The 18,245-nt window shown below is 34.9% G+C and overlaps 1 protein-coding gene and 1 long non-coding RNA gene across 5 annotated transcripts in view; one reads left to right on the top strand and one right to left on the bottom strand.

Annotated features, from left to right (window-relative positions):
• LOC124901592 (uncharacterized) overlaps positions 1-15,716 on the bottom strand; it is a 75,595-nt gene extending 59,879 nt beyond the window's left edge. The window contains exon 1 of the long non-coding RNA XR_007060218.1: positions 15,656-15,716. This is a non-coding gene — a long non-coding RNA (uncharacterized LOC124901592). The remainder of the gene's footprint in view (positions 1-15,655) is intronic.
• Positions 1-18,245, top strand: part of AGMO (alkylglycerol monooxygenase) — a 444,793-nt gene that overhangs the window by 309,144 nt on the left and 117,404 nt on the right. The gene's annotated exons all lie outside the window — the stretch shown is intronic.

Raw genomic sequence — 18,245 nt, 5'->3', positions numbered from 1 at the left:
TCTTTTCTTTCAACTTACTGCCCCCGCCCACCCTTTTTCAGTATCTGTTACTGATTCTTTCTTTTCTTAAAATGGCTTAAGTGTGGAGTGTTACACAGCTCAGTCCATGCAACAGTTCCAGCTGGAAATCTAACAGGCATTTCAAGAATCACAAGTTCTTAACTGAGCTTCTGACAGTTATCACCATAGCTTTGCCTTGTCCTCTGTAAGCCTACAATCGAGCATCCAGAGCTGTGGTCGTATCTGAGGCTTGACTGGGGATGGATCTATTTCCTAGCTCACGTGGTGTTCAGTGTCATTCAGTTCTTCATAGGATTAGAGTGAGAGCCTCTGTTGCTTGGCTGGAGTTTGCCCTCAGCTGCTTTCCACATAGGCATTTTCTAAATAGCCACTTTCCTCAAAGCCAGAAAGGGAAAGGCAGTACAGTCATATGTAATGTAATTACAGAATTGACATCCTGCAGCCTTTGCCATATTCCATTTGTTATAAACAAGTCATGGGCTCCACCCACACTCAAAGGGAAGGAATATCACAGGGCATGAGTACTAGAAGGCAGGGCTCATGGAGCCGATCTTAGAATTTTCCCATCACACTTGACCACCCTGTTTAAGATTGTAAGCACCACCACTACTAACCCTTCTGATCCTTCTCTAGTTCCTTTTCTCCATAATACTTACCAACTTCTTACATACTATATAATTTATGTTTGTTATTGTGATTATTGTAGGTAAATGAGTTAACAAACCCCCTTTCCTCACTGCATGGGAATCAGATCTTCAGTTAAACTTCTGGCTCTGTTTCCATGAAAAGACCTAAAGATGGTGTCAACTGTGTTATGAAGCACAATCGCCTATGCTAATAATGACCCTTGATTAGTAAATTACATCAGAATGGGAGCAAACTATGAATGAACTACAGATAACCTGGTAAACATATTATATTTTGGGCTTATCTGAATGTCAGGAGTCTTATAACTAGCATGCCTCTTGCAAGGAACACTGAAAGTTATGCCTATGGAATTATTAAAGGCAACATTAATTCCTGTGGGGCATGAAGTTGTAAGGCAAAGCTGTGTTGTCCATTAGTTCTTGCACTTGCCCCCCGTGCCTCACTTTGCTACTTCTGTTATCTTCTACATGGCTGCTGCAAGGACTCAACTGGGAGGAATGTCTAACACTAGCCTTCTAGTAAGCTCTGGTTCCTGTCCTAGATCCTTCTGCGTAGACTGGGCAGTCCATTGAATCTAAATGCTTAGTAGAGACCAAAAAGTCACCCTACTAATAGGCTTTATAATGGTTATCTATCTTGCTTTCTTAGAACATTAACTTCACAAGGACAGAGACTTCTGACAGTTTTGTTTCCAGTGGTGCTGGTAATACCACCCCCTCTTTTGTTCTCAAGTCTAGGAATGTAGTTGCTCCCTTTCTTCATTGACTTACTCTCCCCTCTTTGGCTTCTTAGCTCTTTCATCACAGATGGAACAAATGTTCTGCATTAAGTTATCTTGTTTTAATTTCCCAGGACAGTTTTTACTTTCCTGGTTGGTACCTGATTGTTATAGACCCCTCAGTCTCTGATTTAAGTTCAAAATTCCAAATCTCTAGGAGGGTATCTAATTGGCTCATATTGGTCATGTGTATACTCCTTAATTTGTGAGCTATGGACAAAGAAACAGGGCCATGAAGTAAAGGTATAGCTAATGGGACCAGTGAAAGGCTGTCCCAAAGAAAGAGGCAGCATTTTGAGCTGGGCTAAAGTATTTAATATTCTAGTTGTGCTATCAAATATTATATTAATATATTTAAGCAAAACAGGCCTGTATAAAAATATATATGTATTTTGTATATGTATAAGCAAACTTTGTTGGTTCAGAAATAATTTTTTTCCTGCTAACACATTCAGGTATATATATATATTTTTTTTTTTGAGATGGAGTTTTGCTCTTATTGCCTAGGCTGGAGTGCAGTGGTGCAATCTCGGCTCACTGCAACGTCTGCCTCCCGGGTTCAAGCGATTCTCCTGCCTCAGCCTCCCGAGTAGCTGGGATTACAGGCACCTGCCACCATGCCGGTCTCATTTTTTGCATTTTTAGTAGAGATGGGGTTTCACCTCTACTGTTGGCCAGTCTGGTCTGGAACTCCTGACCTCAGGTGATCCACCTGCCTCAGCTTCCCAAAGTGCTGGGATTACAGGCGTGAGCCATGGTTGAATATTTTCCAGTGGTCATCTCCAGATTTCTTCAGTTTCATATTTATATCTGCAAATTAATTTAGTGATATAAACCAGAGTGTGTGTGTGTGTGTGTGTGTGTGTGTTTAGTGTGTGTGTGTGTACTTCAATTTCCATTTAGGCTCAATTCCTTCTGAGACTTCTCCTTACTGTAACACATTATCAAAGCATCAGATATTGAGAATAATGCTTGAATGCTATCAGACTCTGGTTCTACCTAGTACAAAATAAACAGATTATTCATCTTAGTAATTACACACGTTTTGCTACTTTACTGTTGTGCCTTAATTTTTCATGTATATGAATCTGATTTTCTTAACAAGGAAGACTAATTGTCTAGTCTTGAGTGTATTAGGATTCTTTGTACAGTAGTGGGAATATAAATAAATACTTTTTTGATAACCAATTTTATCATTAAGAAAAATTAATTGCAGCGGATTTCACAGACTTCATTTATAGGGATCAACTAGGGGAGCTTGGGTCAGCCAACAATATGAAATTTGGGTTTTAGCTAATCATTTTACAAAATGTGATAACAGCACAATTATATTAAATTGTTGAAGGCTTCAACTACACTTACTAAAAGATTAAGGATAAATTCACAAGTGGAATGTAATCACTTGTCTACTAGCTGGGAATAAATACTGACCGGTGCAATCTTGTGAAAAGACTGTTTATCAAACAATAGTTTCTAAGTAAAGATTTAAAACCTTTCTTTAGACATTTTTCCTAAGAGAAATGGTATAAACCTAAAGTTCTCAAGCTAAATTTTAGAAACCATTGAACCTATGATATTAAGTCATAATTCTTTCCCAATTTCACATCTGGGGAAAGTATTTTGAGAGAAGATAGTTTCCTACCCATCTCCCAGACATGACTATGGATCTAGAAAATTTGGGGAAATAGATGTACCTCATCTTTCAAATCCCACCACCCCTTTTATTTCCCCCCCATCACATCCTTGTAACTCTGTTTCTGATTATCCACAGCCTTCATATTAACCCAAGACTTGCTCTAATAAAGTCTATTCCATACTCCATTCAGGTGAGAATGACTTTTTATGGAAAAGGGTGTCATACTTCAGAATTACCTTTTTAAATATCCTTCTGCCCTGATTAAAATCATCATTTCCTCAAAACAAGAGATATGGGATAGCAGGAAAACAATGACAAATTAAAGTGTCATACACTCTAAATAACAAAATATTTTTCATCTATCTATAGGTATTTTAATCTTTGGGAGATTTTTATTCTAATAATCTTATCCTCAACTTTTTATGTTTCCATAGTTACTCTTCTCCCTCTTTCCACACTTACACACAAGAACAGGCTATATTCTGTCAGCTACTTCTTCACTCCTAAACCCACTGCAGTTTGAATTCCACCCATACATCACTAATATTCTATCCTTAAAGTCAGATATACCTTCCAATTGTTAAATTCAGCAGCCATTATTCAGCTCTTAACATGATTGTTTCAAAAAATTTCACACACATGAATACTATTTCTTGAAAAAATATGAAAACAACTCTACCTTCTTGGTATCCATGGCACCTAATGCTCATCCTATTTTCCTGGCCAACCCTACATAGTATTGTAGGTTCTTTGGTGTCTTTAAATATTGGAAAGGAAGGTTATCCATACTCATTTGTTAAACTGTGTTTTCCACTTAGCATACCGATTTATGTATCCTCCCTTTTTATCAAAGAAAGAACTTAGAGTCTTACAAAGAAATCAGAGAGTAAAATAGGACGTTTTCTTACATTGCAGTGATTGGCGTTGTAGAAACAAGGATTATCAGATTGCCTCCTCACTTTAAGCTCTTTAATGACTCTGCACTTGGCTCAAGTCAAGAATTCTGAGAATAGCAGAACAACTTTATGATGGCATCTACATGCCCATTCAGCACCATTTCCTGTCATTCTTCCAAATACAGCCTATGTTCTAGCCCAAAAATAGCCATGGGACAATATGTGTCTTGTGTGTCACCACTCTCAAGTTCAGTGTTTATAGCAAGTGTCATTAATTGTGGGCATCACTCATTACCACTGAACTTGGTTGAGGAGCAGGTAGAAATTTCTTTTGAAAGGTGGAACAAAAGACTCATAAGTCACCACTTGCCCTTAGGAATGGTCTAGATGGGAATGGGAATTTTTCTTTACTCAGATATTCCCAATGAATAGAAATTGGCAATTAATTTGAAAGTCCTTGCCATCTCTGGTCTAGATAACCTATTCTAAAATACTTATTTGTTATAGCTTTCCACCTCTCCATGGGCTCTCTGTGATCAGTCTCTGTTTCCAGCATGTTCTATATGATCCTCTTGTATGCTATATATTAATGGCAAGAGGAATTTCATTAATTTAATGCTCAGAAAGAAAGAAAATAATTATTTTTAGACTAGAATTGAAGATGAAGATATATATATATATATATATATATATATATATATATATATATATATGGTGCTGGATCACAGATTTTGTGACACTTCTTTATGACATGTTTAAACTCGTCTTACACCACAACAGCTAATGATTTTCTTGTCTACATCTTACATCAGCTACATTCATGCTTATAGTTTCTTCTGTTCGAAGCATTCTGTTATTCTGCTTGCTTGACTAATTCCTCTCTTCTTTTTAAGACTTCACTTACTTCAGTTTCTCTAAGAGGCTTTGTTTGATCTTCCTCTTCCCTCAATACATTCTCTGACTAATATAGGCATTCATCCTCTGTGTACTTTATGCACTCTTCTATCAGAGAGCCTTTTGAGTTGTCATTTGGATCTCTGCCTCTACCACAAACTCAATTTTGAATTGACTTATTTCCATTGTCTAGTATGGTTTGGTGTATATGGAAATTTTTTATTCAATGAAAAAATGAATAATTAAATCTTTCACTGGTAGTATTTAAAGTATATAATAAAGTGATATAATTTAGTCATGTTGGGAAAATATTTTGTTATTAGTTTTCAGAATATGCTCCTTTTCTTTTTTGTTATTTTTGTAAACAGCATATTGCAATTGAAATGGAACTGTTTCACTGTGAATGTGTCTGTGTATGTTTGAGGATTGTCAGAAAATGGCTTTGGTGGTGAATGCTAATGGAGCAGTGGCTATTCATATGTGTAAAAGGATATACTGTCTCTCTCTCCCTCTCTCTCCCTCTCTCTCTCTCTCTCTCTGTGTGTGTGTGTGTGTGTGTGTGTGTGTGTGTGTGTGTGTGTGTGAAATCTCCAAGTCATATATTAACAAAATGTAACTATAACTTGGAGACTATCCTTGTTTTATCATATTTTATCTTTTCAGCATTTGAAATTTTAATAAATTTTAAAGAAAAATATTATCCACTTTCAACATGAAAATGTATTGTAAATATAAATACATATAATTATTTGCATTTTTTTAAATAGCTGTTTAGCATTTATTAGTATTGATAAACATCTTTCTCTACTGTTGGACATTTAATTTGTTTCTCAGTTTTTTTTTTAGGATAACCAGTGCTGTGAGATGAATGTTCTAATAAATAAATTTTTTTCAGGCTGGGCACAGTGGCTCATGCATATAATCCCATTACTTTAGGAAGCTAAGTGGATGAATTGCCTGAGCCCAGGAGTTTGAGACCAGCCTGGACAATAGGTTGAAACCATGTCTCTACAGAAAGTACACAAATTAGCCAGGCATGGTGGTGCATGCCTGTAATCCCAGCTACTTGGGGGCTGAGCGGGAAGGAATGATGGAAAATAGATTTCTAGTGTGCCCTGAGGTTCAATGGGAAGCCAGAAAATAGGAGAATTTAACTATAGAATATGCTTTTTAGAAGCTTGGCTTTCAAGAGGAGAAGAGGAATGCTAGCTAGAAGCAGGATGAAAGGGGAGGTTGAGAGAATCTTAGGCCTGTTTAAAGGTAGAAAGTGAGAAGTGCTAGGTTCAAGAAAGAAAGAAGGCATTTGACATGCATCCATGTATATTATGAAGGAATATGATATTGGGTCTTCAGTACAGGAGAGGAATCATCAACTGAAGACCCCGTTACCATGGAAAGTAGAGATAAAACAGTAAAAATATGAAGTATGGGGATGTATATTTGGGGCTACAAGAATTTGAGAAAGCTCTATTTGATAGCTTCTGTTTTCTGTTGAAGAATGCAACATCATTTGTGGAATGTGAATAAACTTCAAGTCATTGTCTATGAACTCCAATGGCAATTTTTTAAAAAATCTACCTTATCAGAGAATATAAAAAACAGGATTTTATCAGTAGTTGTTTCTCCAAAATGTCAATATATAAAACATCTTTTGGAGACTGTTTTAATAACAGCAGTTCACAGGAACAAATGTATTCATTAGTTAAACAAATGTCTTTTGAGTACCAAATACAGCCTATTCAGTTTGGAAAAAACGCTTATTTATTTTAACCACTTGAAGCTATTATGTAAAATCAGCATCCTTAGAGAGCTAACGCTGGAATGTGTAATCACTTTGGCATAAAACTTAATCCCTAAAAATGTAGTTTGAATTATTACATGATTTCTTTATCTTTAGTAAAAGAGAGTTTGTGATGAAACAGAGGAGCCATTTAATCAGCTTTTTTTTAAGCCTTCAGTGATGTATTCAAGGAAAATGCTTTTATTTTCCATGGTAAGACATCTCTTAATCGTACTGGACAGTTTCATTGTATGTGCAATAAAGGAAAGGAACAATGGAAACATTTATGTAGTGTCTGATTGCCTGGGGATGATGACCTATAATATGCAGACCTATTATTTAATGCTTTGGGGGATTCCCTTCTTTTCCTCCATTATTCCTTTAATCTTTGGTTTCTGTACTAATCCTAAGGAGGAAAATCCAAGCATTTGTGCTATTTCTGGATTGGCAAATTAGACTTGTACTTAGGAATTAAATAATATTTTTAACTAAAAATAAAAGTGGTTAAATTATCATGAGTAATCATTGTAGCATTTTCTCCTTTTTAGTAGCGAAAATTGTTCATAACTTTAGGCACTCAGAACATGTATATGAAACTCCCAATTTGCAGGTTTCTGATGGTAGTCTTGGAATATTTATGGTGCACAATACCTCTATGATAGTGATTTATTTTTACTGAACCTCTTGGGTTGCAGATTGCCTTGCCAAGTTGAGGGAGGATCAGAAAAAGGAAGGAAGGCTGAATGCAATTTTGTTCCCTGTTGAGCTAATTAGGAATCTAGGACTAATTTAGAAGTCTGCAAATCTCAAACTCCCTCTCAGCCAATTAGACTAGCTTAGGCTCTAATTTAGACTATCCTTAGCATTTCCCCTGGTCAAAGGGGAAAGAGAGGTATATTATTCCCAGACCTCAGGGAAAACAACAACAAGAAAAGGGATAGGTAGTGATGACGACATTGGGAATCTGGTAGAGTAGGAGATTAGTTGGTGCAGAGGACATCTTTCATTGTAGTCAAAGAAAAAGGAAACATTAAATTTGTAATGAAATGTACCATATAATGTACAATACCCTAATCTACTAGGGTACTGGAACTTCAAGGTGATCTGGAATACATTCTTATCCTGATAGTCCACAGGCTAACCTTTAGTTTTAATTTCCTAGACTTGAAGATGCTTTCTTTTGTAGTCTAAGAATGAGATATGTATTTTTTCCAAGATACTAAGTCAATTAGTTACACATTTATCTCTTTAAGAATGAGTAAATACTGGCCGGGCGTGGTGGCTTACGCCTGTAATCCCAACACTTTGGGAGACCAAGGCAGGCAGATCACAAAGTCAGGAGATCGAGACCATCCTGAGTAACATGGTGAAACGCTGTCTCTACTAAAAATACAAAAAAATTAGCCACGCATGGTGGCGGGCACCTGTAGTCCCAGCCACTCGGGAGGCTGAGGCAGGAGAAAGGCATGAACCCGGGAGGTGGAGCTTGCAGTGAGCCGAGATCGCGCCACTGCACTCCAGCCTGGGCGACAGTGCGAGACGACTCTGTCTCCAAAAAAACAAAACAAACAAACAAACAAAAAAAAGAATGAGCAAATACTTTATTGTCTTTGATTAAGTCAGAAAAGAAGTACTGGTCTCATCATCAATCTGTTTATAGTACACCATTATTTCTATAGAATATAAAGATTTGCGTTCTTTGCATTGACATTTATTAGCTTTTGTTCTAGAATATACCCTAATGGGAGGGATTAGGAGTCGGGTAATGGTGTTTTGCAGTGCTTTTAATGCATAAACTATACAAAGTCAGACGTGAGATAAAAAAGATATACAGTCTATAGCCTCTTTTTTAGAGGAACTTTACAAAAAAAGGGAGAGAATGTTCATAAACAATCAACAATGAATCAAGGTAGTCTTTTATATATTCAAATATATTTTGAGCAGATCATCACCTGGTTCTAAAAATCAAGTGGACAAAGGTAGACACATTGAGAATGTTTATTTTCTCTCACATTTTATGCTTTGTATCCTTCTATTTATTGTACAAATTTAAATTATATATATGCATTTTTATTTTCCCTTCTTTCTTAACTCTCACAATAACATATGTACACCATTTTGTCTCTCAGACAGGGTTTGCTAGGAGATCTGAACAAAATGCTTTTAGGAAAGGACAAAAGAGCAAAATTACTTCTAGCTCAGCAGAGTGGAGGGATGTTTCAAGGATGACAGGTTGTTTGATTTATGACCTAAAGTATGGAAATACAGGGGAAGATCATTCCATATTAAAACAATCAACATCTCATAAGCAGGAAAGTGGAAGTTTAGAAAATGATTAGAAAGTATCAAGTAGTTGCCTAGAGTATAAATGGAGAGAGTAGTGGCAGACAAAACCGGACAAGTGGCTTAGAGGTAATTGTGGGCATTTTTGTTTATTATAGCCCTGAAATTTTTCGTGCTTTGAAAAAATACACAGATTGTGCATTTTTGGAATTGGTATATTTCTGGGGTTTGATGACTGCTAAAATCTCCTTATTTGACTAAACAACTCAATGGTTTTTATATTACTACTTAAAATATTTAAAATCCAATTTAAATCTTAATTGGTATGTGTTTTGATCACTGTGTAACTTCTGTCTTTGAAACTCTCCAGCCACGATCATGCAAACTCATCTCAGCTTAGTGTCAAGTGACGTTTACATTATCCATAGCTATCCGTCATACGCCAACACTAGAAAAACAGAGATTCTTCCAATTCCCAAACAGAGAATAAAATAGATGGATCTGGATTGATTTAACTTTTTGCTCTAACTTGTAAAAAAAAAACATCTAGCTCATAAGGTTTCTAAGTAACCAGGGTCTATGAATTTTAACCGGATGCTCTTTTGGGTCTACAGATACAGAATAGTCTAGAGAATAATGCTGTAGCTGCTTAGAAGAACAAAGAAACATTGATAAATATTTACCACCCAGCTCTATAAAGAACTTGGATTTAATTTGAAGATGTTCATTTTCCTGATGATTTGGATTTAGTGAGTAGGATTATAAAAGCAATCCCTTGAGAACTGACCTATGTATATTAATAAGTCTTATATATTAATATTAAAGATATTTTCAGTATCTAAATTCTTGTATTTTAACACATATACAATTATTAACACAAAATAATAGAATAGCCATTTAAAGTGATACATTAAATTCCTTTCACCTCCCCCCACTGACATCTTGCCCCAGTTCTTACCAATAATGCTTATTTTTTGACTTAAAATCTGTCCCACATCTTAGATTAATGAACTTCCTAAAATATTGTAGTAGCATTCATCATTATATACACTTAATGTCATTTATCTTATTTCTATATTTCAATAGATTAAATCATTTTATTGTTTTAAAATAACTAGTATAATTATCAGGTGACATTGTTTCACATATTTATTTTATATTTTGTATATTAAGATTATCATGTGTTTTCCCCTGAAGTTTTTTACTCAGCAGTGGGGAAAGTGGTAATCATGTAAATATTTAGGTCCTTCTCTATTTCTATCTCAGTTTTATTGATTACTCCTAGAAATGCTTAACTCTTTTATCTGATGTAGTTTCTAACTTAGTTATTTGTTGATCAGTTTAACAGTCTTGGTTTCTGGGACCAATATGCCCAGGTTAGATACTGGATCTTTACACCCACCAGTTAGCAGCTTAGCCTCACCAATCTTTTGTATTCTTCCTCCAGCATTTAGTTTTAAGACTATTGACATTACCATTTACCAATGATAATTTTACTCCAAACACTGTGGTTAAAAAATAAGCCCAATTTTACCCTACAACCTTGTGATGTGAAGTACTTGTCTATGGATGGAATTAGGACTTAAATTTAGTTCTCACTATCTGGAAGATCCATCCATTAACTAGATGATCTTGAAATTTCTTCTAATTCTTCTTGAGTTCAAGAGATCATGTGTAGTAAGCAGAATCCTAAAATGGTCCTTCATGATTTTCTGCCCTAAACTTAGATTTGTGAATATGATAATATATCATGCCCTGATTATGTATGACAAAGATGAAACTAAGGCTACTGATAAATTGATTTTAAATTAATCAAAAGAGAGGGATTTTTGGGGAAAAATTTAATTATACTCTTGAAGAACACAGGGTTTTCTCTGTCTGGTAACAGAAGAGGATGTCTCAGAGATTCCAAGCTTAAGAAGTATTCCATGTGGCATACTTATAAGATTGAGGGAGGAAATATATGTGACAAGGAATGTGGGCATCCTGTAGAAGCTAACAGCCAGCAACAGGAAACTCAGTCGTAACCTCAAGGAACTGAATTCTTCCAAAAACTGAATGAGCTTAGAAGCTGATTCTTCCTCAGAGCCTACAGATAAGAGCCCAGCCTGGTCTACACCTTTTGACCTTTGAGACCTTAAGCCAGGAACTCATCTAAGTCTACCTGGACTTCTGACTCACAAAATTATGTAACAATAAATGGGAATTTTTTAAGCCATTACATTTTTAGTATTTTGTTACACAGTGGTTTTGGGGAAACTCACAGTCAAGAGATAAAAGAAAATTATGAGAGTCCAGTGAATCTCTTCATCTTTGACTCATCATGTCAGTTGTCTTCCTTTACTAGGATGGAGGGAAGGACACAGCAAAGTCAAAAGAACGGAACCTTGCTTTCCCATGGTGATCATTATTTCCTAAGGACTGTCTACTCTGTGTCTTCCCTAGTCTTTTTTTTTTTTTTTTTTTTTTTTTTTTTGAGACGGAGTCTCACTCTTTCGCCCAAGCTGGACTGCAGTGGCGCTATCCCGGCTCACTGCAAGCTCCGCCTCTTGGGTTCATGCCATTCTCCTGCCTCAGCCTCCCGAGTAGCTGGGATTACAGGCGCCCACCACCACGCCCGGCTAATTTTTTGTATTTTTAGTAGAGACGGGGTTTCACCGTGTTAGCCAGGATGGTCTCGATCTCCTGACCTCGTGATCCGCCCGCCTCGGCCTCCCAAAGTGCTGGGATTACAGGCGTGAGCCACTTCCCTAGTCTTTACTTGAGTGATAGATGTTACCATGTTGGCTTGATACCTACCAGAGTGAGCGCATTCTATCTCTGGGATATTCACTTTTCCTGATAGGAACTGACTGACTTTCCCTGATATTGATGATTTCTTCTTTTGGCAACATGTATTTAATATAGTGGTTAAAGCTCATTGGAATCTAGATCCAGCTGATAAAATGGACAAAATGTGTTTAATAGATGGAGAAAGACCTAGTTCAAATTTTGCTTTCACTATTTACAATTCCTGTAGCCTAAGGAAATGAATTAACTCCACTGAACTAGCTTTCTCATATTGGAAAAAAAAATCACCTAGATGTTATAAGAATTAAATAATAAAATTCTAAAACAATGTCTTGAAGCTTCTAATACGGATCTGAGCATATTGCATGTGTTCAGGAATTGTTGGTATTTATTCATTTCTTTAAAAATGTCTTAGATCTCTGAAAATTGCCCTATAGATTATAATTTTAAACAGGCAGTATCTGTATTTATTAGAAATGTGGAATATGAGAGAGTGATTGTAAAAGTTATCAAAATAAGTATTTGTTTTATATAACATTCTCAGGTTGATTTTGCTTTTTAACCTTAAGAAAGACTAAGTTATGTCCATGTAAAGGATAAAAAGATACTAAAGATCAGTCTTTATCTCTGCACCTAAGTGAAACTGGCAGCCTACGTGTATGAAAGAAAATGATAGAAGGAACATTTTTAGAACAAAATGACTGAGATAGAAAAATGTGTCCTCTGTAGGTTCAGCTTCTCTCAATTCTTGTCAGATGAAGGCTGGTCACTAAGAATTAGCACATAAAACACAAAAGCTCAATTAAATTTAAATTTCAAACAAGCAATTAATTTTTTAGTATACGTTCTAATATTGCATGACACATATTTATGCTAAAAATATATTTATGGTTTATCTACAATTCAAACTTAACTTGTCGTCCTGTATTTTTATTTTTTAAATATGGCAAGCCTAATATGAAGAGACCTAACACACCAGGTAGTTAGCATGTATTGAATAAATAGATGTTTATTTCATTATATTACCCCTTTGATGTAGCTTGATTGTTAGGAAAAAGCATGTTTCTCTTTTTGACGTTTCTATTGGCAGCAGAAGTTACTGTTTCGTAATGAGTTGCAGCAGAAGTTGTTGTTTCATAATGAGTTAAAACAATGACAAAAGATAAAGCAACAAGGTATTTGCAAGGGAAAATGCTAATTTCAAAATGCATGGATAAGGAAATACACATGTGGAAACAGCGTGTCCTTACATGTCCTAGACAAAATCATAAGGTCTGCATTTAAGGCTGAAAACCGGTGAGGCTCATTAAACAGTGTTATTCAGTTCAAGTGTGTTCAAAATATGTTCACCTACATATTTTTAATATGTAAGTGTACTTAATAAGTGTACATAATAAGAAACACCTACATAGAGTTGATTGATAGCAAATGAAATTGTAAAACGCCCTGATTGATTTACAAATTATCCTCATTGGCTTACTAACATAAATGGGGCTTTAAACTCATACTGAAATGTCAACCTTGGAAAGATAAATTATACAGGCACACTGCTTTCAAATAACAACACGAATTGCTATAGGGTTCTTTTAAGTAATGTAGAGAACCACATACCCATATACACTGTTGGACATTGAAGACAGAATTACCTAACCTTCATAGAGATTGCTATATATGGTAACATGACTTAATTATTCCATTGTTTTCTTCAGCATGATTTTACTATCCCTGGAGACTCTAACCCAAGCAACTTGCTTAATATTTCATAACAGGAACTTCCCAATCAATCCATCTGCAATGGAACTCATTAGCAGACACTTTGTACCCTAAGTTTTAAATCCTTTGCATCAAATATCATTATCTAAACGTTCCTATGGATCCTATACTGTTTGTATCTTGATGTTTACCTGATCCTAGCCAAGTCACTACTGCAAAACCTCTCATTGTGATATTTTCCCTTTGAACAGTAAGCAACAATCTCAGCCTTTTCTCATCAACAAGTTGTGTTGATGGTGCTTGGAGAGCAGGCATTCAATAACATTGAGGGCACAGATCTAGAACCAGACTTCCTGAATTTAAGTTTTAGGTTTGCCAGGTACTACCTTCATGACCTTGGAAAGGTTATTTATTCTTTCTGTGCTTCTGTTTCCTCATCTGTAAAATGGCGGATAATACTTCAAAAAGTCATTATGTGCAATAAAAAGTTTACATATGCAAACAACTTTAAATAGCGCCTGCGCCTGGTGTATAGTAATGGGGGTACATATTATTAAAAGTTATGTTTTCCTAGTACATGTATTTTTTATATTTCAAATCTGACTATACTTATGACTTTCTATGACATTTTATTGCATAAAAGGGATGCATTTTATTTATTGTAATAGAATGTAAAATTGGAAGTTTTCCCTTAATTGGTGCAATTTGTACTTTCTCCATTTCTCTGAACATTGGCCTTAGAATTTCCTTCATTTTCCACATATAATAATTTTAATTTATATAATCCTTTTTGCCTTTGTGTTTTAACCTATTTCTATAGCCTTTAAATTATTAATAAAATGAAAAATTAAAATTTTTAAAATTATTTTAATTGCTATATTAATATTATAGTTGTACATATTTTGGGAGCACATGTGATATTTTGATACCTGTGTATAATGTATAATGATCAAATCAGGATATTTGGGATATCTATCAACTCAAATATTTATTTTCTTCGTGTTGGGAATATTAAACACAATTTTTTCTTCTAGCTATTTCAAAATATTCAATAAATTATTGTTAACTATAATTTTCACCTGGAACTTTTGAATACTATAACTTATTCCTTCTGTTTAACTGTATTTTTGTATGCCTTAAGAAATTCCTAATATAAATAATTGGAAATATTATTTTCTTTAAAAATACACACACGTGTGTGTATTGAAAAAGAAAAATTGCCACAGACACTTGTTTTAAATGCCTATGAAAAAGTTATTCAAACTATTGATATAAGGGTCAATACTACTGAAAAAAAGAGAGAAATTGACCTCAGCTCCAATGGAACAAAAAGCAAGTGGGTTTAAATGCTGGGGAAAATTAATAGAAATGCACTGTAGGTCATTAAGGGAGAGGCTGGTCAATGTGATTAGGCCATCTATGTTTGCTGATGTGGGACTAATCAAAGTTAGGCTTCTACCTTCCCACAGAAACTGGGATAAATAAGAGCCCTGTCTTTCCTGAGGTACGGATCTCTGAGAAAGACTATATGGAGTTGTAAAATTGTCAAGAAGTTGAAAGAAGGTTTATATTCAAAGGGGCAGAGAAATAATTTACAATTCTGTTTTCTAACATAAGAAGAGAAAGGTTAGGAGGGAGGTTGAAGCCTACAGTCAAGAAGAAAGCCTGTCTACACTTTGGTCAAGCTGAGGTGAACGTTAAGACTGTGTTGGTCAGTATTTGTGTATTTGTGTGTGTGTATTGCTATCATTTAAAGGGCAATTATAGGTATTTTAAACCCACAAGGGAAATGTTCATTCTAACTTTTATCTTGATTTATTATAGAAGGATATCTTTTAGTTTCCCTGCTCTCTCATATTCTACCTTCTGAAACAGACTTTAAATTCTGTAGTTTCATGTGGTGAGATTCCACATGTAAATTATTCTATTGGCCAAGAAAAAAAAAACACTCTCTAGGTCTAACCGAAGTATATTCTGTAGACATTGTAACAGAACTGTGGGCAAAATCTTAAAGGGTCACTAGACCTTTCTTATTCCATAAATGACAAACACAGGAAATATAAAGAAAAGAAAGCCTGCATGAGCTTCTTACCTTCCTTTGTGCTACTTTCATCTGTTCTAGTGAAAATGTTTCTGAAAACACTGACACAAGCCTGACCCTCCAAAGAAGAAAGAACATATAACATGGTAAACACAATTTCTCCACGCACACTTACTGGATCTCAGCTGCTGCTTCTGGAATCTGCTTCCTCTTGTTCTCTGTCTACTGTCTGGTGTGAATATATGCACATACGGAGCTGCACAGCAAAATAATCTTTAGGGAAGTTCCAAGAGTTACAAAGCACATTTGAGACTGATTTCACAATGCTTACTTTAAAAAGGTATTCAAAGGATCTTTCTTTGCCTCAATAATAAAGGTTTCATCACTTTTTACATTTTTTATGTTTGTTTGAGTACTATTTTTTATTTTTATTTTTTTTACCAATTTCTTTTGTTTTACCAACACTTTTATTTACCAGTTTCTTAGATGGCCGTTTCTTAGTTGATCAGGTTTTAGGTCAGAGGTGTGCTTGTCATGCCCTTCAGTTTGGTTGTCATATAATCATAGTATCAGGTGAGCTTTTTAATCACTAACTAGTAACTAGACTCCATTTTTTTTTGTTCTTGTGGTTTGTTTGTTTGTTTTAAATTAGGCAACTTCCAGTAGATAGCAATGAGAAGTCACCCTAATCTGCATCTTTAAATCATATATCCTCAACATATATCTTACTCATCTTTCAGTTGATCAGATCTTTCAATAATATCATCGATGACTGGCCTGTTTAAGCTATTAATTTACACATTTCAGCCTTATAACTGATTATTGTCTCTGTATATTTCTTATGTCCATGTCGAAGCAGGGATCTTGAAACAGCATTGTCACATCTAACATCTGATGTAGATAATTCAAGACAGAGTTCTTTATCTTCCTTTGCCACACTTACCTAGCAAAACTACTTCCCTTTTGTTACTGACATATTTGTTAATAAACACATAATCATTATATGTCCTCCTTCAAATTCATTAAAAAAGGAGTCATGCTTATAAATTATAATGTAGTTTTTATGTAGTTTAATGTAAATGTAGTTTTTACAAGATCTATAAAATGGTATCTTACTATATAAAATCTTGTTAATTATTTCTAGACAGAGTATTATTCAACCACCCCAAACTGATAGAAATTTACCTTTTCCTTAAGAATTATTGCCTTCAGTTACAGAATCATTGCAATGTCTTTAAATCTTTATACATGAACAATATTTTCCAGTGTGTAACCTGAATTCCTTGTGCTTTCCCCTCTTGCTCAGGAAATAGAGAACAGTATATCATTTTCCTTTATTTAATATTTCTTTATAGCATTTGAAGTGTATTTTAAACTTGCTCTTGAGGTCCCATCCACTAATAATAATGTTTTTAAGAATCTGTCTGTAAAGTAAACCAAAGGGCAGAGAAGAATAAGCCACGCTTGGTGGGGAATTTCTGTAGAATTTCCTGATTTATTCTTAAAAAGAAAATGATGCAAATTTTGCAGTCTGAATCACAACATTAGCTTGCTTACATTTGTTCCATAAAAGTAATGTTTTGAATTACTTTCCAAAGTGAATTGCTTCCTTCTTCTATCCAAAGAGAGTTAAATTGAGAAAAAGTCACCAGTGTGGTTTCTGGGCATTTCGACTGCATGCCCCCAAAGGTCTACAGCTATTAGTGGCTATAACAATCCCTATCTCTATTTTCTTTCTTTAGGATCTATTTTCTGAAACAGTAGTTAATTTAGTCTCTAAAATACAAAATGAATCAGAACGGCCTATTTCTGATCATAACTATACAAACAAGAACCAGTACTTTCCGTCTTTGTGTTAGTCGTCTATGAACAGCATCCAATTTGAAGAGAATTTTTAATTATAATACTCTGAATCAAACTTACTCACTAGTGGATAAATGAAGAAACCTTAAATTTCAACCTTACTTGATAAAGCAAATAGTTGAATTCCATTTTAAGTAATTAACACTCTAGTCATTCAGTGGACACTTACTACACATTCGCCATTCTCTCAAAATTTTGCAAAATTCTAGGGACAAAAACACAAACAAGGTCTTTGTCTTCATTAAGGAAAGCGCCAATGGGGAAGACAGTGTGTGTACATAATTTCAATACAGTGAGAGTCATGTTTAGATATATATATATTATAGATTAAGAGAGATTATAAAAGAAATGTTGGATAAAACACAACTCAAAGGACCCGGGGGAGAGTCTCAGAGGAGGATCTTTTTGAGCAGAGGAGGATCTCTTTTTCTATAGATTTGCAGAATCTATAGAAAGAAGAGGGAGTCATTCAAGGCAGATGAAGTTTTCAGCAAATGGTATGATATGCTCAGAGAACTGCAAGTATCTTAGCATAGCAAAACCATAGGGTAGGAGAAGATTAGGAAAAGCTAAAACGGAAAAAGTAGGGAGAGACCAGATCTTTATAAATTTATGTTGTAAATCAAGGGTCTGTAGCATGTCTTTTGTTTTTGTACTGCACACAAGCCAAGAACACTTTTTACATGTTAAAATTGTAGAATAAAAGTCAAAAGAAGAATAATATTCAGTGACATATGAAATGATGTAAAATTCAAATTTCAGTGATCATAAAATTTTATTGAAACATAGCAACTCCTCTTTGTTTACAGACTGTCTATGGTTACTTTTGCACTATCATGGCATAGTTGAGTAGTTGTGACCAAGACCATATGGCCTGCTAAGCCTGAAATATTTACTAGCTG

Source organism: Homo sapiens, chromosome 7 (assembly GCF_000001405.40).
Source record: "Homo sapiens chromosome 7, GRCh38.p14 Primary Assembly".
NCBI lineage: Eukaryota > Metazoa > Chordata > Mammalia > Primates > Hominidae > Homo > Homo sapiens.
The sequence above is the reverse complement of the archived record's forward strand: the minus strand, read 5'-3'. Positions and strand labels throughout refer to the sequence as shown.